The following is a 24,896-nucleotide window of genomic DNA, read 5'->3' as shown; positions in this document are numbered from 1 at the left end:
ATTATGCTCTCTATCACAGTATAATCATTAGTGCAAAAATATTTAATTACAGTGAAACTGTTATGACATTACTATAAAGCCAGTAAATTTTTTTCTACACCTTAAGATAATGTGTTCTTTGGGGTAACAAACAATATTCCCGTGGCCCACCCCTTCCATGAATACTTCAAAAATGCCACCTAGGCCCTATGTAAGTGTTCTCTGTCTCTCTCACAAAGAGAACCTGCAAAGTCTGTGAGTTTGCCTGTTTCATACATGAGCCCACCCTAAAGTGTATGACCAAGTGCAGACCCCTGTCAACCAAACTACCTAGAAAGAGTGACTAACAGGATGTCTGCTGAACTACACCAACACAGCAGTCATCAACCTAACTTGTCTGTGGATGCAGAAAGGTGCTCCGTTTCTCTCAATGTTTACAAGTCTCTAAATCTCAATGGGGCTTCTTTTGAAGTACTGCAGCAATTCAAAACAAAGAAATTGTCAGTCTTTGCATCCCTTAAAGTGACTAGGCAGGAGTGCTACATGATGCAGACTAAGTAAGCACCAACAATTGTAAACGATACCATGCACAGAGACCATATAGTCCATCAGATACTAGCTGAAAAGGAACTTTTCAGCTAAGAACTAAGAGACAGCAGGGAGGGGTGGCAGGGGAAATAAAATTATTCTGCCAATGGGCACTAGTCAAACAGACTATGACAAAGACATTTTCGATTATTTGTTCCTAATACAAAATAAAGTGAAATGCTATTTTTGACAATCCAGCTGATTTTAGATATAATTCACATTGCCCATGTTCTATCATCTTAAGGAAAAGAGAAAACAGTTGCCTCACAATGAATACCCAAATTGCTTGTGTATCTTCATCACTTAATAGTTAATTCTATCCTTTGATAGAAGTGACCATCTAAACTCAAAAGGAATTATAATAGATTCACCACTGTTGGTTACTGAAACTAGAGTTCCCACGTTTGGCACTCAGAAAATGTTTGAAAATGAATGGACGAATGTTGATCAATTAATTAACTTTGCTGCTTAAACCTGTGTCCATTATTTCCCTTGTTAAAAAGAATGGTAGCTAAAAATAGTGAGACTGAAAAGTTTAAGAGCTACATTAAAGCTAATTAGAATGCCAGTGGGATAAAATAGAAACAGCCCTGACCCGAGAGTCACAAGTCCTGGGTTCTTGTCTCCATTTGTGAAAAGTCACTTAAGCTCTTGACCCAAATTTCTTTACCTGTCCACTAGATGGATTGGACCAGGCAACAGTGTAAGTTCTAAAACCCTATTTTTAAAATAAATTTTAGTGGTGAATACTAAAATGTCTTTAATATTTAAACACATTCCAATTTTTCAGACTAGCACAAATTTATGTTGTGAAGCATTTGACTATCAATGTCCCTAGCCACAATGTAAAAAATCATACTTATTTTCTAATATTATAATGATAATTACCAGATGTGTTGACATAAGACCACTTTCACCTATTTCACTTACAGCAGCACTTCTAAAATAGACTAGAGACCATCTTACATTTAGCCAGATTTTATAAGAATTTTCCAGTACCCCATTAACACATGTAATGGTGACAGCGTAATTATGATGCAAATTAACACTTTATTGGTCCTTCAAAAACAACCATCCCTTGAGCCCAGCTCAATATATTCTTATAGTACCTCAGCAGTAAATAGGACTTTTTAAAATTGAGTGGAAATAGCAAACCAAAAATAACTTTCTAAAAATTTGTATATCTAGATAGTAGCATATTCTACAGTGCTTGAAACTGCTATTTCTCAGTACTTTGCTACTTAGACAACAGACTTTGGTATACTAATGCTAAGGCAGGGGAAAGAGGAGACAGGGTCTCAGAAGAAAAGTGACAGGGGATCAAGGGTGCGGAGGGAGAACACTCCAGAAACACAGACCACGGAAGCGATTAGAAACAAGACAAGTACCCCAGGACTAAGATGTAGGAAAGTAAGTAGATTACTACACAGTACATACTTTTTAAAAATTAATGGTTTCCTGTCCCAACTGAAATTGCCCATCCAGAGGATCAAGTATGGAAACAATTACAGCATCTGGTACCATGGTATTAGTTACATGTGGACATAGGTAGCACGGCTACGTAACTGCATATGTCCTCTTAATTATTATTTGGAACTATGCTGCATTAAGTTATATGGATCAGTTATCAACCTGTTTTCATTACAATTGTCCAAAATCAATAGCACCTTTAATTAAAATTATAAATAGTGAAATTCTCTTAAAATAATTCTCCCTGACCAATTCCCATGCCCCTTGATTCTGAAGCGGTAACTCACTTCCCACCAGGCTTTCCACTTCTCTCTTCACTGCCTACACACAGTCCAGAAAACTGGGAAGAAAGACAAGCGAAAAAACGAGTTGATGGAAAGCAGAGGGAAAGGCCAGCATTCAACACCTCAGCATGGCCCAGCTCTGTGACCTGACCCCTGCCCACCTCACCCAATTGTCCCTGGAACTGTCCACCTGGCTTCACAATCCAGCCTCCAGAAGTCTTGACTGCCCTGTAGTTCGTGCACATCCCGCACGCCATGGTTGATCCTGCTGCAACCCCCGCCTGGAATGGGCTGCCCCTGCTAATCTGCCTAACTTCCACTTGCTGCATATCAAATGTTACCAGCCCAAGGAAGTGTTTTCTGAAGCAGCTAGGGAGACTTGGTATTTCTTGACCTAAGCTTTCTCCATCTGAGGCAGGTGTCGTTTTGACCTTTTTAACCCTAAAGACTAACACAGTGCTGGCATATACTGACATCCAACAGGTGTTTGTTTAATCCTCACTTCCCCCAGTTAGTCACATACACTTCAGAAATTGCCTGCAGTGCTCTTCCAAATCTCTGTACTTCCCCTCATGTTCGCTCTGTTAAAAACGTCCAAATGTGCCTTGTGAATGGCCCCTCATCCTTTAAGACCCAACTCAAAGATAACCCTCCTGTGAGAAAAGATTTTCCTTCTGCTCCTCAGCAGAGCTCGTCCTCCCAGCCTTGTGTTCTCACTCAGCCTTGCTCCTTCTCCTAGAGTGGCTTCCGCAACACAGACAGCCCGGGCACCACCTTGTCACCATGCCCACACACAAAAAAGAAAACACGAGGATCTGCCAAATGAGAAATCATAAACAAATAATAAATCAGCAGTTATGCCTCCCTTCTATCTGCATTTCTCATACCTCCTTCTCATCCAGCTCTTGTGAAAAGAAACAGCAAAAGTACCCACAAAGTAAAGGACTGTAAGAAACAGAACAGGGAGAGGAAGGTTAACAAGAAAAAAAAATACGGAACAGGCAAAGGAAATCAGGAGAATGGCTACCCACCTAATATTCTACTGTGGGGATCAGGAAGGTTACAGAATCCTGAGACTCTACAAGAAGATTTTTTTTTTAGAGACGGGGTCCCGCTCTGTTGCCCAGGCTGGAGGGCAGTGGCACCATCATAGCTCACTGTAGCCTCAAACTCCTGGGCTCGGAAGAGCTTCCCTCTGCAGCCCCTCAAACAGCTGGAACTACAGAAATGCACCACCACACACAGCTAATTATTTTTATTTTTTGTAAAGACAGGGTCTCCCTATGTTGCTCAGGCTGATCTCAAATTCCTGGGCTCAAGCGATTCTCCCACCTCAGCCTCCCAAAGTGCTGGGATTACAGGCATGAGCCACCACATCCAGCCATCACAATTGCATTTTAAAATCACAAGGAAGCCACTTTAAAAAAAAAAGAAGAAGAAGAAGCAACGAGTTAAGTCACTAGAACATGATTGTTTCACTGGAAAAGACTTTAGACACAGAAGCCAATGTTTTCAACTACTACACCAAGAAATGATAATATTTAGTTTATTTCTATTTTGTTATAGGTTGATCATACTTACTGGCCATGGAATACATCTACGACCCCACCCTTCTGTGGCAAAAATTTTAAAAACCACTACCACAGAAAAATAAACCAGGATATAATGGAGACAAGAGCTGTCCTTCCCCTGTGAGGAGGAGCTGGGGGCTGCCTCAGTTTCCACTCTGCTGTCCTAACACCCCAGCACTCTCCCGGCTTCACCAAACAGTTCACTGGAAAATACACGAGGATGATATCTGAGAAAACAAGTTTTATATGTGAATAGTATAACCAAGATCACTCCTAGGCTTTCCCATAATAAAGTCATTTGTACAGTTTTAAAAATCGTAAATGTTCATTCAGTACATAAAAGGTATCTCAAGGATTCTAACATCAGAGGAATACACAAATAATGTTAATTTTTTGTTCCTAACTGAGGTAGAGAGACAGCAATCATCACATAGCATTTTTAAAATTTCAAGCTAAAGACAAAAATATTCAACAAAAAATATTAAAATATTATATGGATAAAATATATAACGTATCATTTACAATGGGAGAGCATTTTAATGTTAATCTAAATATTTTTTACAAAACTGAGAGATGTTGCACTTTATACTGTTATAAGCATAATTCATGCCACATTATAGAATAAACATTTCCTATCTATATCTCTTTAACCAAAACAACCAGCTAAACCAAATACTTATTTTATTTGGATATATCTGTAGATATGATGGGTGTAACTAATTGTTCAGCTAAAAATGCAATTCCATGGTGCTTTTAATGATTTAGGTATACACAGCTTTAGTTCTCACAGCAGACTAAAAATAGTGATTTTAATTTATTCCTGCTGCCTACAATTACCCACAACCATGTATTTTTAAATATTTCCAGCCTATAAAAATTACTAATTTTTGCCACTTGTGTTTATCTGCATTTAGACTTTGATTTGGATAAATTAAGCTCTCAAGTGTTCCTTGCTTTATGAAACTCTGCATGTTGTACACTTCAACACAAATAAATGACTTGTACCATTAGAGGTTTAAATAATGTAATGTATTTCATGCTCAGCCTGAAGCTGGATTCCAATGAAGTTGCTAATGCACGTAATGATTAAGTGTAACTCAAATACTAACTGTGTTGTTGAAAACATGACAGGCAATAATTTGGTCTATTATATTCTGCCATTTAATTGCCTAGTACAGACATTCTCTGACACGTTATGAAGCAATGATTTACAATTATTCAAGCTGCAAAGGTCAGAAAGTGACATTATAATCATCTACATAGAGATCCCTTCTAATGCACAAAAACTAGGTAATGCCACACACACACACACACACACACACACACACACACACAAAGAGTTTTACTGCATTAGTAACTTTCTATTTAAGATTTCTTAAACCAACTAGGAATAAACAGTTCATAAGCACATTAATACACAATTTTAAAATGTCTGGAATCTTTTCATGAACCCAGATGTCACAGATTTAGAAAATGCCCTTATTCTCTCCTGATTAGGTAAATTCATTTCAACTATTTAACTCCATACACAAGAATCAAGACGAGACTTAGGTAAATCAATCAGTAAACAATGCAACTCCTAAATCATGCACACCAGGGTCTGCGCTTCTCAATAATGGCATATCAAACTTGGTTATCATTTCTTAGGTTTACTGAAATCACAGGCCAATTATTAGTTTTCTACAACTCTTTAAAAAAAACTAACACTGCAGAACAAAAACAATAACCCTAGTTTATCAATTATATCCCTCTCACCTTAATGGGATGATATAATCTTTATACTTTTAGACCCTTACCTCCTGCTATTATACAAATATGTTCAGTTTGTAACCCACAAGTAAATGCAATAATCAACACATGAATGAGTGGGAAAAAATAAAACTATTTAAAACAACACTTAATAAGTGGGAAATATAAAATAGGGAAAGTATTGGGGAGAGACAGAGAGAGACAATATCAGAATATGAAAGTAAAGCAATGTGTAAGCAATTTTTTAAAAAAATGTAAATGTGGGCAAAAGCAGAAAATAAAAGTGGATGGTAGGAGAAAGTAGATAAGTTACATTTCCTACATGCAGTGAAAACAACCTAGAGAGAAAAAAAAAGTACAAACTAAAGTCAGGAACAAAAACAGATATTACAAAAAGTGGAGAAATATAGAAAAGAAATAGTTAAAAGGAAGAAAGAGTGGTCTACCATTACTAGTCAAATAATTTAAGTACATCACTGAAAACATTTTGAATATTAAGTTTCCCATCAGTAAAATGGGGATAAGAAGGATAAGGTAAGCAATCCACAAAGCTATGGAAATCAACAAGTGAGATAAAAGTTAATCAAGGCTATTTATTAGACCACAATGCACTGCATAAATACTATTTAGAGTACCAGGTATACTACCTTATATGTACATAGAGAATAAAATAAACTTAAAAGAATTTAACAAGACATGGTGCCTAAAATAACTTTTGTAAGTCATCGAGATTTTTACGTTTTTGACTACTGAAAGAAATAAAGGTAAAGATCATGGATGTAATAAAAATATGCATTTGGCCTATTTTCTAAACACAAAATTATTAAATAAAAGCATTAACTATAAAAAATAGGTATAGTTTCTATTATTTCTTACTTTCTCTCTCACTAAGCCCTATGTCAGAGTCATAACAGATTTTCATGTTAACTATCCATCAAGTGCCTAAATATAAACACACCTATATTCTATAAAATTCCTCTCTCGATCACATTTGGATATTTTTAACAAGTAAGAAACTCAACTTTTCAAAAAAAAAAAAAAAAAAAGATTCCCCCAAAAGTGAAAGTAAAATAAATGGCTCTTAACCTGAAGTTATCCATAACATGTACTTAAAACATGATGTACAAAGCAATACATTTTTGAAATTTTTACCATGACATGAGCAGGTAAACCTTGAGTACACAAAACTTAAATTCTGAACTCTTAATCCTAACGACCTAATAGGAATTAGGCATCTAATACATTCAGCTTCTTCTGTCAAACTAACTTAAACCCAAGATATACGGTAGTTAAGATTTGCCAGTGGGGCAGGGCAAAAGGGGGTAATGGTATCTTAAAACTGATCCTGAAGATTCAAAGAAAATCAGTCTAGGTTCATACAACTTATACAAAACTTTAAAAGGCAGTTTTTGTCACAACCCTAAAACTACGTGTTAATGAAAAACACAAAACGTGCAGTTGATGAGCATCCAAAATCATCTAATATAAAGATCTGAAAAAGAGGTAAATTACAAATAATCTGAGACATTAATATTGAGCTCAATACTGTTTGTTGTTTCCATCAATTTCACCATAAAGTATTAGTTTTCTTCTTCAAGAAAACCAAGAGGTTACTAAGAAAAAGAGTACAGTATTCTGAGTAATAATTTCACTTTAAAAATGTGACTGCCCAATTTTTTTATATTATTAATCAAGACTATTTGAGAAATAACTCCTTAAAACTCAAATAATGAAGAGCTCATTAAGAAAATTCTAAAAGGCAGAGACTAAGATATTAACTACTAAGGAAAAGAAAACATAATGCAGGACCTTCTGTTTGTGACAAAATTATAGAGTTAATGTTCCTGAAAGATCGCTTCACCTTTTAAAGCATGATTTTGTAAAAGGTAAAATTTATAGCAATTAAAGCTAATGAAGAAATGCAGCATGAGCTGCTTATGTTCAGGAACTAATAGGTCCACTGAGCATTTCTAAGATTATTTAGCCATCAATGATAATGAATTGACTTTGTCAGTGATGTCAATGTATAAATACTCTCTAGTGCCAGTAATCTGATAACCAATCCTTGCACTTTTTTATGTTTTTTACTTTAATTTTTAACCTACACACTGCCCTATCCCTTTGAAACACATGAAATAGGGAACAACCTATGATACTTTTTCTGCAACACTGAAGGGTACCTAATTCACTACCATTCTGTTCCAACTACAAAGATCAGTAAGTACTCTTCAGTTTACTGCAATTCTTCAGAACTCTCAGCGTCACTGTTAAAATTATTGCTACCTAACTTTTAAATCAAATTTCATTGTAAAAATACAAAGAGAACAATTATTTCCTAGTCTGATGAAATTCAATGCTGTCATAATTCTAAAAAATACAATTCTGGACTCTAGAATGCTTGTTCTACAAACGCACACATACACATAGCTCTCTCTCTGAAGACAGTATAAAACTCGATATATGTATAATCATGTACAATTCTGTATCTCCAGGATCAAATATATGAACTACTCATACAGTATTTCAGTTGTATGAGGTAAGCAGTTAGCGAGCAGGGTGGGCACTGTTCAAATTATACAACTAATGCCGATCAATTGTGTATTCTTTTTGATACCAGACACATTAGAAACTGTTCTGTGAAAAGCTTTCTTCTTCTCTTTCTAGGGTCTTAGTAACCCTAATTAAAAAATAAATGGAATTAGATCTCTATTGACAACAGTATGCAAAAATTGTTTACTTACTTCTCAGAAATGAGAGAAAAACTGCTTACTGCCACCTAATAGCAAATTTTCACTGGAGTCAGGGCCTTCTCCTTTCCTATAACTCATATGGTAAAAACAATAGATGAGATATCTTTTAAACTTCCAAGACCTGCAGCAATTAAAATGAACCATTTGACACCTGACCCTTGCAGCTAAAATCAGTAGCAACAAAACTCATTCTCCCACTCATCTTCAGGGGACTTTAGGGCAAAGGGTCATCTTCATCTACTTTAGCTGCAAGTCACTGAACCATCAATTCCACAGACCATGGTTCATAAAAGTGCTTGCAAAGGTATTTGTAAAACTATCCTAAGGGTCAAAATACACAACTGCATCCTGGGATGAAATGTACTGTCCAACAAATAACAGAACTTGTTTTTGACATAAAACGTATTTACATGGTACTATCAATCAGCAGAATCTTCTACTAAAAAAAAAACCTAATATAATATGTGCAAGTTGCATAATGTAATTGGGCCTGTGGTATTTTGTGAATTAGCCATAAGAACTGCAAGTTTCTCAGGTTTCACATGAAGAATTTTTATATGATGCACTTATTAATTTCTCTAGCATAACAGCATTAAAATAGACTTTTAATCAGAAGCAGGGTATTAAAACCCACCTCTGAATGTCCTATGTTATACCATATATGATCTAGCATTTTAAAACCTTTTAAACATTTCTGCTAAATTAATCAGTTTTGCATTAAGGCACCTTAGCACTTTCTATCCAATGCAACACATTTGAATAACAGTTAAACACTGTACATGATTCTTCAGAGAAAGAACCATTAACTAAAAAAGGAAATAAGTTTTGAAATAAAGTTACACAAAAATGCATAACAACAGTTCTCTTCAGCATCATCCCTGTAATAATCAGTAACCAGCCATCTGAAATTAAATCTTTTGTTGCTTTCCTTACAGAATAAGTCCAATGGATCCAAAGAGCTACTACTGTGATAAAAATTGAAGCAGTACAGCAAAAGAAAAAAAAATACATATACATTCCTAAAGCTATATTATGTATTTTTGTATGTCTTTAAATGGAATTTATAGTTCTCTCTGGCAATGTGAATGAACATCCTATAATTTAGTCAATTTACAGATTACAGGTTCAAATTGACCTTGTAGCCCATAAAATTGCTCATCTTCAGTACAGGATTAGAAGTGGGAGAAGAATGTCATAACTGTATTTAAGGAATTTACCATAACAATGGAAAGGAGGGTACGCATGCATAATTTTAGCCACTCTTACTCCTATCGGTTTTGAATTCCGAAACAATGGCTATCCTGCACATGCTTCCTGGTTCACGCAGCAGAGATGGCTTCAATTTACTCACCCACAGACATGACACTTGTATTCCCTCATCCCAAGGTGCCTTTTCACATGGTTTCTGGCATCTCCAAGCTGAGCTGTTGCAAAATGGCATATCTTGCACTTGAATGGTTTTGATCCTGAGTAAATTTAACATAAAATATGATTTGATTTTGAATAATACATCACCAATAGCTTAGAAAAGAGGACTAAATCTTAAATCATACCTTTAACCTAATTAAGAATTTCTGTACCCAAAATGGAATACTTGCATTCATTTATAACTTGAATAGACCTGATTCCATAATTATTTTACTCTGAAGACTTTGTTTCAGTGAGTCTTCCTAACTTCCACTAACAATCCTAAGATTCAAACTCAAAAGTGAGACTGCTGAGCAGTACTAAGTCGATGAGATGAGCTACATAATTTTAAATATTTTTCTTATAATTCACAAAAATACATCTTAAAGTCACTCAACACTTCAAAGAAAACATTTTTAAAACATAAATGCACTCAGGGCAGCTGATATTTTTAAAAGCATATTTATCATCAAATACATTTCTCTGTGGCCACCTCCTTGTTTCCTCATATTTCTCCGGCTTTGAATTTACTCACATTAAAACAATGGTATATTTCAGGTTTTTTCCTGGCATTTGTCCCAAATTATTATCTATATTTTTAATAACACAATTTATAAATATACAGTAGATAAATTTTTATGCTTTTATGGTCATTTTTATAGTCAAAAATCGATGATGATTAAACAAACTGGAAGAACTGACATTTTGGTTATTAATTTCAAGAACAAATATTTCAACACAAAAAGCATACAAAATTTGTTGTCATTTCATAAAGAATTAAGATTAAACTATACTCAAAAATGAGAAAATAAGATTATTTCAAAGTCTACACACTTAGTGTCAGTAATAGATAAGATTGAAACTGAAACATATTAACAGATAATCATCCACATTAATGAGAAATAACGCTCTTTTAAGACATAAAATAGATACACCATTTCCAAACTTTCTAACCAATACATCTTCAAATAAATCAAAATTGTAAAAACCAGTTTAAAATCAGTACGTTTCCTGATTTTTCATATCATATTCAGTACTTACATGGTGAAATATTCCCTCTACTATAGTTAGATAGAACACGAAATATGTGAACTTTAATAAATATACAAAAAGAGCTCAAATTTAAAAAATTGTAATAAATCATATTTGATCAATGAACCTTTGTGCAGTGTCCTTGTAAAAAAAAAAATCCTCCAAGAATACTTTGTTGAAATTGAAGCACTCAGTAAAAAATTTTAGAGTCTTAAATTTCAATTTAATTCCCAAAAGCTGACAAAAAAAGTGAAGCATTTAATTTTAATCTTCCAACAGAAATAAAAAAGTCAACAGTACTAAGCACCGGCAGACAAGGTTGAATATTTCACAGTTCAATGACAATGAAGCCAGATCTCTTAATATTTCCATTTCTGCTGTTAGAAGTAGATGTAAAATATATTTAGCACCTGAATGGTTGTATCTAGTCAGGTTTATATGTTTAAATGTCAAAAGCAGGTTGAGACTGCAGCTTACAGCAATCACATTCTATCAGTCACATTAGAAAATACAGTTTATTTAAATGATTCTGATAAAACCAAGCCTATCACTACTTTGAACATTTCACTAAGACATAGAATTCTATAATGGGACTTTTGTAAGGTGTGTGAAGAACCAATTTACCAACACTTTAAATTTCAATGCTCCAAAGATAATAGGGTAATTAGGACATTATTAAGTAACAATAATATCAGGACTCGAAACAAAGAAGATCAACCTCTCCCAATATTTGTATTACAATTTTGGTGAATGGATGTAAAAGGTCTCATGGGTTTGAGTTTTCATTTTGCTCACACAGCACCTGCCATGTGACTAGCTCCTCCTCCTGTGGCACAGATGCCACAGAGAAAGGGACGTGGGGTCTCTGGTGTGTTCAATTTACTGTCCATGGCTCCTTTGTGGAAAACTCTAGTTTCTGCAGGTCTCAGTGATCACAGCACAGCATGCTGACAATACATAAATGAGTTATTTTGTTGACTGCTTCACCCAGAATCATGGAGGCCTTGACTATTCTTCACATCTTATATTCAGAGTAGACTGTGTTAACATCTCCTTTCTGTGCCATAAAAATTCAAATACTAGCAGAGGTAATACTTCTCCGCATTAAAGAAAAAAAAAGGGCCCTTTTTTCCTTGTTTCCTAACTAATAACATTTCTGTTTTTAAGTTTGCTATGTACTTTCCGAAATGAATGCAGGCACAGTGTTTATAAGACAAAATTGTAAAATTGCAGATCTCTAAATATTTCTCTCAGGTACATTTTGATTATTAAAAACAATATTATTTGCAACAGTTCCATTCCTTGGAACAGCATTATCCTCAGTAGGTTTTTTGGTTTTCATTTGGTCCATAAGGTTTTTTCAAAGGGAAAAACTAAAGAGGCTCTCTATCTTTGTGGTACCTTATTACTTTACCGAAAGAATTTCAAAGACTTTAAAATCCAGGTCTTCACTCAGGCCTACGAGGGCTCCTCAACCATCAGTCATGACTATTGCTATGCATACACAGATGTGCCATTAGCATTAAAGAGAAAATACCAAATGAAAGCCCTTAGATCTTAAAGGAATGAAGGAAGTTGTATATTACCCAACATCTAACCACTAGAGCCATCATTCTACAATCCTCCCTAAACATTCAAACACTTCATTCATTCATTCATTCATTCATCTGCTCGTTCATTTATTCACTCATCAAGATATACCAAGAGCCAACTAATGTGGGACACAGATGAAGCAGTGAACAATGTTAAGCCTTTGTGGTCACTGTGCTTAAAGTCTACAGATTAACTCTCCTACTGAGCTGTCTGTCCTTTGTCACGTATTGAGCTACAAACACTACCAGCCCTAACTTCAGAATTTCTTAGTGAAGTCACACACTCCGTATCTCCCTGGAACATTTTGAGATGGCATTAGTGACCAGAGCACTCTAAACATAAAACGAATGGCTTCAGACAATCTGGTACTTAACAACAGCCCATGTTACATGAAATAAAAGCTTTGACAGACCAATGCGGGAGAAATGAAAACGAAGTTTTTTAGTCCTGCTAATGTAATGTGAAAGGGAAGACTGCCCTTTCTGGTCATGTTGATTACTTCGTAGTAGCATGCACACGGGGAGACTCTAGGATCCTTTTTCCTACGATGCTTGATAACCAAAACTCATTTATTTCTTATAGTGCTGCTTTTATCCTGCTAAGGATGGGAAGCAAAGGTTATATAAAACATATAGTAAATCACAAAATATGAAAACAGGGATTGGAAGAGTAAGCTCTTTTCCAGTTAACCATTAATAACAGTCTCTGCATTACTATTTTATGGACATAAGCAAAGTATGTGAAAAGCAATTCATTTTAAGATGCTCCAAGAAAAAAACCCTGAATTAAAACCTGGAGACCAACTTCCCCAAAAAATGACTTGCAAAATTGAAATGGTAGACTCGTATTGTGTCCTCAGGAACAGGGCTCTTGGTAGTGTTTCAAAGCACAATAAAAATGTACTTCCTGATAAGACCAACACAAGATGTTTAAAAAAAAAAAAACTATGCTAACTTTTACTAAATGTTACAATCAATGATGTAACTTATATAAGTAGGGTTACTTTGTCACATATTGATAGTTACCTCACTTTCACATCCACATTAACTTGATTTTAAATGCAATTAATACATATAGTCAAGGAAGACTAATGGACTACATTCTGCACTTAACCTGGTGGACATTTTCAAATGGCACAAGTGACCAGTGCAAACCTATTTTGCATTGTAAACGACTAAATAAATCTTAATGGATTAAGAATGATCAGCTATCAACACACAAGGGAAATTAAGTGCTGAAATGCCTACATTGATTATTTTAAATTATTAGCCTTACTCTGTTCTTGAATTTGTATGCTTTTAGTGAGCTTTAACACATTTACAAGACTTATTGACTATAATTACAAGAGAATTCAAGTAATGGACACATCAATTATAAGCAACATGTCTTGACCAGACAGTTGCATAAAGAATTCTAAAAAGAGCTCCATTAGCATCTTCCTCTTAGTTTTATTCAGTTTTATCTGCCTTAAGAGGGCATATTAAGAAAGTACATATTTTCTGCGCATGTGAACAAGTCTTATTCCTAAAACTGTATCGTTTCAGAAAGAAAGCTGCAACAAGGCACTGAGAGAGATACTGACAGTGCAGACAAATAAGCATTTGGACTTATTCCCCAAAAATGGCTGCAGTGCATAGGAATATTTGGGATCACAAGTACAATGTTTGTATTTATTTACATTAATCTTATGCAGGTTGCCCCATTACTTCCTTCAGTGAAAAACTTTTATCTATCTTTAATCACCCTAAACTAGTAATAATGCTTCACACTCTTCTGTCTTCTTCCTCGTAACCATGCACTAAGTTTCAAAAACTGTATGAATTTAAAGTATAGCTTTAATAATAAGCCATTATTTAAAAGTACAGTAAAATAAACCTTACAGTTTTAATGAAAATATGTTCACTGAAATGTGAATTTATTATTCAAATCCACTCATAAATTCAACCATGGAGACAGAACTTGTCTAAGCGGAGCACAATGATTTAGAAAAGCTGTCTATTTAAAATAAAGAATGTATGGCAGGTTTACAGAAACAGTGCAGTGAATTTTTACATAAATTTAGAACAGTAGCTTATGCATTTTCCACCAAAAAAAAATGTTTTTTTAAAAACTTTCCACCTAAAATTAAACATTAAAATGGAACACTAACTGTGACAGAGCACAGAGACTAAATCAGGTGCTACCTCCAGGAACACCAGATCCCCAGCACATGTTAACTTTGGAAAGTGGTGACTAATTTTGATCCACAAAGGTAGAATCTTGTTACCCGGAAGTTACACTTTTGGATATAAAATATCTAATGATGAATATTTTTACATCCCTGATATTGTAAGAAAATTTGATTACTCCATTCCTTAAAAGTCACTTAACATGTCTTCTGAAATTATAAGGTGCCACTTAATACAGACTTTGGAAAATCAAATAATTAGGACTCAGAAACAACTGAAAAGCCGCCAACAGACAGCAGTTTTTAAAAGGCATCAGAGGGACTAGGCTTTTTGACAAAATTAAAAGAAACTTGTCAGCTAACCTGCCTTTGAAATCACTAGGGCTTAATTACCCTTAAAAATGTTAAGTGTCAACAATGACTTATTGCAGACAAGCAGAGCAGCACACGGCAGTGAAATGTGAACCGGGTGGAAAGCCAATGAGCAGCCACAGGTAGGGCTGCATATCTGGATGGGAACAAATGGCCCCATGTCCTCACTGACTTGGCTTGCTGCAGAGCTACATACCTGTGTGAGTGCGAATGTGTGCCAGGAAGGCCATCGAGTTGCTGCTTCGACACATCTTCCCACAATACTTGCAGACGTTTCCCTGGTTTTCCTCCCTCTCGCGGTTGATTTGCTCAGTGTCTTCCACTATATACTTATTCACCTCCCGCAGCAATTCCTCATGCTGTCCTTTAATATGTAAAAATAAATTCTGTTCAGAATCAAAGGGCTCTGTGCACTTGACACATTTAAAGGTGGCCCCTCCCTCCGGAAGCTCCTCCACACTGGCCTGCTCATTTCTCATGTGGCCGGCACTAGCCAGATGCTGGTGAAGGTTGCTTTCGGTATAGAACGACTTTCCACAGAGTAAACAATGGAAGTGCTTCTCTTTTGTAGGATGCTTCATGGCTATGTGAACATTCAGTCCACTCAGTCCATCTGCTAAGAAGCCACAATCATCACAGCGAATTCGTGTAGACTCACCAATGGAACTGCCCTCAGATTTCTTCTTTTTCACACCTTGAGCACAGTCTTTCAAGGGCAGCTCACTAATTCTCACTCCCGTTGCTATCAAGCCCTCTTCAGACTGGTCTATCAACTCACCATCTTCAGGGTTCTTTATTCTTATTATGGAGGAGTCAAATCGACCAAAACTGTACATGGCCTGCCCTTTATCATCAATACTAATTATAGTTTCATAGACATCACTACTTTCAACTGTGCTATCAGAAGCTGGGCCATCCTCCTCCAAAATAAATTCTGTTTCATGTTGTGAATTCATCAGAATTTCCTTATTCCCCAGAACGGGATCTTCTTGGACACCTTTCAAGTCTTCCAAACCATGCCCACGTGCAACTCTGTTCTGACCCCCGCTCTCCAGATTTCCCTGTTCTCTGGTTATTCTTGTCACAACGAGCACAGGGCTTTCAGCCGAGCGCTCCCCATCGAGCGTCACAGGGCACAGGTGTCTGTGGGGGACAACACCTCCACCGTCTCCTGCGTTTCCTCCTTCACCCTCACAATGGACACGCAGCTCACCTGCATCATTCGATATCTCATGGTTTTTCTTTGCTGTCTCACAATTTAAGGCAGAGCTTCCTGAATTTTCATTTTGAAATCTGCTTGGGGAGCCATAGTTTGAGGACATAGTAAGTGACATCATCTCCTCAGGTTTCCTAACTTTATCCTTGACAGGAGCCTGTTGGAAAGTCTCACAAAAGGAATGGTCTTCATTGAAATTAGATTCTTCTTCAGTCTCAACTTCTACAGAGTCAGCAGCGCAGAGCACTTTAGACATATCTAAATTAGTATTCTCATTTAAAATAGAGCAATCTGCAGCATTTCTAGATTTAAGAGTATCAGATGGTTGACCTGAAATTATTTGAAATTCCTCAGAATTTTGTTGATGCTCTTCTTCAGGCATAATGATGTTTTTGGACATGTCTGCAGAACCAGCTTCTACATTAGCAGAGTTGAGATAAGACTGCCTTTTCATTTTGTGCTTCTCTGTTGCTGCATGCCTGGTCATCTCGCGACGAGTCACCGCGTAGTAATCGCATGCCATGCAATAAAACTCAAACTCTTTTGTATGTTTCCGTTTTACATGCAGCTCTAGAGAAGCAGAGGAGTGAGCACTAAACTCACAGTGCAAACACTTATTCTCACCTGTGCCTGTAACATCTCTCTGGGAGTACACATCCCCCGGCTGGGCGAAGTCCTCTGGCTCTGAAGATATTTGCTCCTTTTTATCAAGAAGATGGCTGTTAACTTCTCCATCTAGAGAATGAAATACATTTTCAACTTCAGCTTCAATTGAGTTTCCACGATCTGGCTTCTCTAAAACGGAGGTGGGTGACTCAGCTGGTTTGTTAGCATGTTCATCTGACATGGTCACTGCTGAGCCAGCATTCTTTTTACCAGCTTCAAGGCTACCCCCTTCAGGGCCAACAATGATATCTGAACTGTGTTTTCCACTTGCTTCTATTTCTACCCGTCCTTTATGTTTCTTGGTGGCACAATGACGTTCCATATCTCCCTTAGTTACAGTGTAATACTTACACACTTTGCATAAATAACTATACTGGTGACTGTGTTTTCGTCTAATGTGAACAGTCAAGTTTGTAATACTAGAGGCCAAAAGGCCACAGTGTGAACACGTCCGTGAGATGTTACCTTTAGGTCTCCCTCTCTTTGGAGTAGTGGTTGAAGCTAATTCATCATCTTTGGTGCTACCACCAGACTGTGACAGTTCCTCAGACGCCAGCATGCCCTTCTCAAGATAGGAATGCTCTTGTAATTGCACACCTATATGGCCTTCAATCCTTCCATTTCCGGAAACATCAAACTCTTCTTTTTTATCATTTGCACCTATACATACCCTTTCAATACATTCTTCAAAGCTTAAGCCAATATTATTTTTCTTAGCATTTTCAAGATGCTTGCTTCTTTTAATGTGTTTCTCCATTCCTTCTTTGCTCAATGAATAAAGATTACAAGCTTTACAAAGAAAATGATAGTCTTGACCATGCCGAAGCTTTATATGTCTCGTGAGAACAGTAGAAGATCTTGTTTTATAAAAACACTTCTTACACTGAAACTGAGGCTTACTGGAATGCCTCACTTCATTACCATGGCTTACCCTGGACTTCAGAGGTTCTTCCTGAGATGCTTTTCCTGAGTCATCCATAGACTCTTTTGCGTTTTCTGATTCTAAAGTACTCAAAGGTAAAGTCTGTAAAACCAAATCACTGTTAGATGATTGCAAAGTCTTTGGTTGAACCAATGAATTAATATGCTTCTCGGTGGCTTTGTGTTCTTCCACATCTTTTTCAGACAAAAAGAACAGATTACAAGGGGTGCAAAGAAAATGCATATTGTGCTTTTCCTTCATGTGGTCTCTAAGATTTATTTCATCCAAGGATATAAATGAACAACACTGACAACTCAGGACAGAAGCAGTTTGCTGATGCTGGTTACTGTGCAAATGTTCATCTAAGTCCCTTCTTGACATACTAGAGAAGTCACAAGTACGGCAGTAAAATTTCATCTCTCTGGCATGGCACCTTTTCACATGGATTTCCAAATCTGTCCTATTTGTAGCTACTTGCCCACAGTCTGTACAAGCACACAACGTCTGAGAGCCAGAAGCTGGCTTCACTGTCAGGGAATGCAGCCCGGAGTCCGGAGGACGGGCACTCCCCTGGCCCTGCTCTGCCTCCTGGGTTTCTGAGGTAGTCACACACACTCTCTGCACACTGCTGCACGCTTCCAGGTGTTTCAGCACTGATTCTGCATCGTGTGTTTTCATCTGTGTTCTCAAGTGTTTCATATACATCCTCTGAGTTTCACTTGTACCTCTTTTAATTCCTAAAAGATTAAACCTTTTCTTTGCCTGGCCCTTCAAGGTGAAAGTGCTGCTTCGTCGACGAAAGCTATTACCCAACACGAGAATATTTCGCTCAGGTCTTGGCCTCGAGGTTACACTGTTACCGTGTGCTGCCTGAAGGGTATTTTTTGTAGATTCCAATTTCTCTAAGAGACCCTCTGAGGTTACTAAGGTGTCTAGCTTTCTACTCTGGTTTTCAGGATTCTGAGCTAGACCAAGGGAAGTAACATGTTCTTCAACAATCTCTACTTCCTGTGACAAAGTATTTCTGGAAGGCATCATTTCAACAAGAAGCTCACTGCTACTACCACTTTGTTTAGAAATACTTCCTCTGAAATCTTTAAACGTGCTTCCCACATTTCGTAATCCTTTTGAATCACTATTCTTTGCTATTGATTTAGAAGTTCTTGGTTTTGAGTGAACATTTTTTGTTGCCATTGTACGTGATTTTTTAGGAAAAGGTTGTTTTGTTAAGATCTGTACAAATCCTCCACGAGCAGCCAGATTCTGACGACGGAGATGTGTTTTGCCAAGATAATGTGCATTCAACAAGTTTTCTTCTGAACACTGAAAACCACAAAGATCACAGGAAAAGACCTTCTGTGGCCCATGTGCTTGTTTGATATGCATATGTAGTGCTGAGCTGCTCTCTGCTTTGTGGCTGCAGTGACAACAGGTATGTTCCTTAGGCTGCTGCATGTGAGACTCAGCATGTTTTTCCAAGTCAGAGCAAGAAGAAAACAAATGCCCACAGATGCTGCATTTGAGAACTGTATCTACATTCCCAATGGTACAACTAACACTAATTTCTTTCGGGGGGAAAGGAGATTCTCTTTCCAGATCAAGGGAAACCATTTCCTGAGCAGATGTTTTTTCAGTGTCTGTTTTCAGAGAAACAACATCAATAGTGCTAAAATTGCAAGAAGGGGAGAGGGCATTTGGGAGACATGTGCCTCCAACTGTGCAGTCACTCAGAAAGGTCTCCTTCCCTGTTTCATCTAATGCAATACCCCCTTCTGTGACTGAGCTCTCAGAAGTTTCTAATCTACAAATACCTTGCTTTCCAGATTTAAGGGGCTCTGCCTCATCTAATTTCCTGCGTTTGGAAGCATGTTTATTTCTGTCTTCTCCTATAACAACACTATCAGAGTTCGATGATTCTGAAAAACCTCTTTTGCCCATAGAATTCTCAGGGAAACTTGCTATCACATCAGATACAGGCCCACCGTCTTCATTATGGGATGAAAGCTTTGTCAAGTCTTGTGCTTCTTTGTTTATCTTTTCATCCTCATCATTTTCGGGTTTATTCTCACTATCCATCATTAATAAAGTGCTGACGATGCTTCTATCTAAGGCGGCTCACTGGCACTCATAACCTGTGAAGTAAACAAACATGGTATTAAATCTTGAATATAAAGACACACGTATTAGTCTAAAACTAGATGAAAAAGTATCATGAAGTTAGCCCCAATGAAACACCCTTTATACTGAGATGAATTTGATTACATGTCTAAAGTCTTTTATCAAAAAGTATGAAGTAGGATTTTAGGAACACCATGTCACCCTATTGTTGACTCCAGAAGAAATACTATGGTATCTTTGGTAGAAAAAGTGATTTCTCAACAAGCTTGCAGAAAAACTCCCATATTTCAATTCTCTGTACCAGCATACTTCAATTTACTACCCTTTTAAAAAAAAAACAAAAAGAGAAGCTCTCCTTTCAAAAAACATTTCAATGAGCTCCTACTCTGTAAAATATATTAAAACAAAACTGCTGTGATGCAAGTCTAGAAGTGAGGCCTTCCCCTCCTTAACCTCTAACAGAAGCCCAAGTCCTATGTAAAAGAAACATAATTTTAAAACAACTGTTTCGGCCAGGCGTGGTGGCTCACACCTGTAGTGCCAGGATTTTGGGAGGCCGAGGCAGGCGGATCACGAGGTCAGGAGATCGAGACCATCCTGGCTAACACAGTGAAACCCTGTCGCTACTAAAAATACAAAAAAATTAGCCAGGTATGGTGGCAGGCGCCTGTAGTCCCAGCTACTCGGTAGGCTGAGGCAGGAGAATGGCGTGAACCCGGGAGGCGGAGCTTGCAGTGAGCCGAGATTGCACCACTGCACCCCAGCCTGGGCGACAGAGCGAGACTCCGTCTCAAAAAAAAAAAAAAAAAAAAAGACACCACTGTTTCATCCTTTTCTCCTAAAGCAAAGAGCTTTACCATGATTTTTCTAAATATATTCCAATGAACAACACGTATAATCTCATTACATATCACCATTCGTGCTCAAGCTCTTTTACCAATGAAAAGCCACTTCTAGTCCAGCTGTCAATCATTAATTTCCTCATCTAATTGTCATTTTATATTGTCTGAAGGTTAATGGCAAAGGGAAATGTCAGTGGTAGAGTAGAATTAATGGAGTAAATTTTGAGAAAAAAAAGAATTTTATTGAATAAAATGCCTTGAAATCAATAATATTGATTTTATTTTTCATTATGCTATTTAATTCAATTAAAACATATCATTTTCCATTTACTTTACACCATGATGGGAATGTTCAGCCAAATGCCACTTGATTCCACGTTAATAAAAAGGCATCAACGTATTATAGTCTCAAGGCTAATGACAACTATTTTAAACTATTTTAGCTATTTTTTCCATAACGTTGACAAATCAAATGGAGCCTATTGCTTTGACTCAGCTAAAATCAGGCAACAAAAATATGCTTATAATGCAGGACACTGGAAGCGCGAACAATACGAGAAAAAAACAAGTAAATTGGACTTCATCAAAATTAAAAACTTCAAAAGACACTATGCTTCAAAAGCCACTATCAAGAAAGTGAAAACAGAGCCCACAGAATGGGAACACATTTTTGCAAATCAGATATCTGATAAGGGACTTGCATCTAAAATATATTTTTAAAACTTTTATTCTCAATAGTAAGATAAATCAATTTAAAATGAGCACAGAATATGAAATACATTTCTTCATAGAAAATATACATAATACACATATGAAAAGATACTCTACATCAGTAGTCACTAAAGAAATGCAAATCAAACCCACAAGGAGATACCATTTCAAACCCACTAAGATAGCTATACTCAAAAAATCAGATAACAAGCGTTGGCAAGAATGTGGAAAAACTGGAACCCTCATAACACTACTAAGGGGAATGTAAAATGGTGCAGCCACTTTGGAAAACAGTCTACCAGTTCTTTAAACAATTAAACATGGTGCTAGCATATAGCACAGTAATTCTACTTGGAGGTATACACAACCAAGAGAAGCAAAAACATATATCCACCCAAAAACTTGTATGCAAATGCTGACTGCAGTACTTATTCATAACAGCCAAAAGGTGGAAACAACCCAAATGTTTGTCAATGGATGAATGAATCAAGAAAATGCGGTATCCACACAATGAAATAGTATTCAGTCATAAAAAAGAATGAAGTATCGGCCAGGCACGGTAGCTCATGCCTACAATCCCAATGCTTTTGAAGGACAAGGAGGGAGGATGGCTTGGGTGCAGTAGTTCGACACCAGCCTGGGCAACACAGCAAGACCCCAGCTCTAAAAAAATAAAAAAATAATAAAAATTAGTGCCAAGTGCCTGTGGTCCTAACTCCGGAGCTGAAGCAAGAGGATTGCTTGAGTCCAGGAGTTCAAGGCTGCACTGAGCTACGATCACACCACTGCACTCCAGCCTGGGAGACAGAGACAGAGACCTTGTCTCTGAAAATATAATAAATAAAAATAAAATTAAAAATGAAGTACTAACATGCCACAATGTGGATGGCCCTTAGAAACATTATGCCAAGTGAAGACCATGTACTATATGGTTCCTTTTTATATGAAATGTCTAGAATAGAGAAATCTATACAGACAGAAAAATAGGCAGCCCTTGGTTTCTCAGGGCTGCGGGTAGGCAGGCAGAATGGAGAATGATAGCTAAAGGGTAAGAGGTTTCTTTCTGAGGTGATAACAGTGTTTTAAAATGAACTGTGGTGATAGTTGCACACATCCATGAATATAATACTAAAATCCACTGAACTGCAAATATCTCAATAAAGCTGTTTAAAATATATAAATTGTCATATATTATGTATAATATAAAAGTATTTGAAAATGAGTAAAAAGATAAATTTATCTAGTTTTATTGCATTTATAAGACATTCAACATTAGTTCAGATACATTCCTTCAGAATAGGTTCCAGAAAATATAAATTATATAAGAGTAGCTGTTTTAAGTGAAAAAACATCTCTGGTCAAATAAGTTTAGAAACCTCTAGTTTGTTAGCCAGCTGTGGTGGTGTGAACCTGTAGTCCCAGCTACACAGGAGTCTGAGGTGGGAAAATCGCTTGAGCCTCCGAGTTTGAGGCTGCAGTGAGCTACGACTGAACCACTGCGTTCCAGCCTGGGCAACAGAGTGAGACCCTGTCTCGAAAAAGAAAGGAAAGAGAAGAGAAAAGGGGCGGGGCGGGGCGGGGCGGGGTGGGGCGGGGCAGGGCAGGGCAGGGCAGAAAGAGAGAAAGAGAGAAAGAGAGAGAGAGAGAGAAAGAGAGAAAACTGAACAAACAAACATTTCTTTACCACAGGATTTCTCGGTACACAAGCTCTTTCCAACCTTATTTGATTACAGAACGCTTTGTTTATAAAGAATCAAGAGACTGGTATTGCAAAGGATCCTTAGGAAATGCTCTTCTGGCTGGGCACAGTGGCTCATGGCTGTAATCTCAGCACTTTGGAAGGCCAAGGTGGGCAGACCACTTGAGCCTGGGAGTTGGAGACCAGCCTGGGCAACATGGTGAAACCCTATCTCTAACCAAAAAAGAAGAGCAGGGGAGGGGGACAGAAATGCTCTTTTCTATAAAGCATTGGTTTGCTATTCAACATTTGCAATTGAAGAGTAAAGGGAGGAAAGGAAGAAAGAAAGAATCATGCACCCATTTCAAAACCTTCACTTAGTGCCTACAGTATATCAAGTATTCTTGCCTGTAGATGCTGGATATACAGCAAACACCACCCAAAATCTTAGTCCTGTGAGAGCTTACACTGTAAGAGATGAGACATCGAGACAATACATTGCTTAAAACAGATACATTGTCCAACCCAGGGCAGCTGCTTCTGGTCAAGATCACAGGGACTGGATTTACTCTCATGTTTGAAACAACTGAAAAAAAGTAAATGAAACCTACGAAGCAACAGTGCAAGACAGTCGACATCAGACACCAAAGGACAGCGATTCCTGAGATGAACACACTAGGTGAGTCCGGCTTTCTGCCTAAGAAAGTACGAAGGCCATAGCACAAGGAGGGGCATTATAAGTTGAGGATAAAACAAAGGAGAGGAGAAAAGTGGAGAGAAAAAGAGGCCCAGAGATCTGCAGAGGTGACGTCCCAGGAATCCCTATCAGGATACAGCCCTGCCATCCTACCAGCAAGATGCCTCATGCACCTTCGCAGCTGGTCCCTCCACCACAGCAACCACTATTCAGAATTCTTCCACGATAGTTTAGTTTTGCCTGGTCTAGTAAAATGGAGCCATGCAATATGCTCTGTGGGGGAAGGGAGGTCTGGCCTCCTGGGCTCAGCCTGACGCTTTTACTGCATGTGTGAGTAGCATGTTCCATTGCACTGCTGGGTTGTAGTATACTGAATAGATACACCACAATTCTGCTGATAGACATTAGGGCTGTTTCCTTTTGTTGCTATTACAAGAAAGCTGCTATGAATATTCTTAGTTCAACAAATATGTACTGAGCACCTACCAAATGAACGGAACTGTAGTGACACCAACACACTCGTGCACTGAGATAATATTCTGCGGGAGTCACATGACATACACACCAGTGACCTCAATACAAGGCCATACGTGATCATGTGTACAATACAAACTAAGATCTACAGCAGTATACTTGAGCAAGAATATCCATGTGTTTTTAAAACATATTTTTTCATTCTTTTGTGTAAATATCAATGATTGATACTGCTGCGTTATAGGGCAGATGGACGTCCAACTTTATGAGAAACTGCCTGACTGATTTTCAAAGTGCCTGTACTGTTTTGCATTGCTAGCAGCTATGTATAAGAATTCTGTTTGGCCCACACCCTCACCAACACTTGATATCAGTCTTTTAAATTTTAGTCACTCTAGTATGTATGGTTTTAATCTCCATTTCCCTGATGCCTAGTGATGGCACTGAATACTTTTTAATGTGCTTTGTTAGTCTTTTGGCTGTTTCTTAATTTGGTTGTTTTATTATTGAACTGCTTACGTATTCTGGATATAAATCCTTTGTTAGATATGTGTTTAACCAACATTTCCTCCCTTCTCATTTGATTAATGGTGTCTTTGATAAACAGAAG

General features: G+C 37.3%; 1 protein-coding gene across 8 annotated transcripts in view, besides 2 other annotated features; it reads right to left on the bottom strand.

Moving 5' to 3' along the window:
* The window catches only part of ZNF407 (zinc finger protein 407), a 467,802-nt gene that overhangs the window by 414,807 nt on the left and 28,099 nt on the right, over positions 1–24,896 (bottom strand). For 6 of the 8 annotated variants that reach the window (NM_017757.3, XM_017025838.3, XM_011526069.4 and 3 more), the window contains exons 2-3: positions 15,159–19,898; positions 9,743–9,857 (exon numbers count right to left, since the gene is read on the bottom strand). In NM_017757.3, coding sequence (NP_060227.2) covers positions 9,743–9,857; positions 15,159–19,845 — 4,802 coding nt within the window. In that variant the 5' untranslated portion in view covers positions 19,846–19,898. Of the gene's footprint in view, positions 1–9,742; positions 9,858–15,158; positions 19,903–24,896 lie in introns of those variants that run through there. The other 2 variants (NM_001146189.1, NM_001146190.1) reach the window with 1 other exon arrangement.
* Positions 4,488–5,346: an enhancer, noted in NCBI's record as "VISTA enhancer hs378". NCBI's record gives its function as "enhancer in: limb[3/5]" and the evidence as "EXISTENCE:transgenic organism evidence [ECO:0001131][PMID:17130149]".
* Positions 16,264–17,463: an enhancer, noted in NCBI's record as "MED14-independent group 3 enhancer chr18:72345358-72346557 (GRCh37/hg19 assembly coordinates)". NCBI's record gives its function as "activates an origin of replication core promoter dependent on BRD2, BRD4, P300/CBP and CDK7 cofactors, and independent of MED14, by STARR-seq in HCT116 cells {active_cell/tissue: HCT116}" and the evidence as "EXISTENCE:reporter gene assay evidence [ECO:0000049][PMID:35650434]".

This window comes from Homo sapiens, chromosome 18, assembly GCF_000001405.40.
Source record: "Homo sapiens chromosome 18, GRCh38.p14 Primary Assembly".
In the NCBI taxonomy this organism is placed as follows: domain Eukaryota; kingdom Metazoa; phylum Chordata; class Mammalia; order Primates; family Hominidae; genus Homo; species Homo sapiens.
The sequence above is the reverse complement of the archived record's forward strand: the minus strand, read 5'-3'. Positions and strand labels throughout refer to the sequence as shown.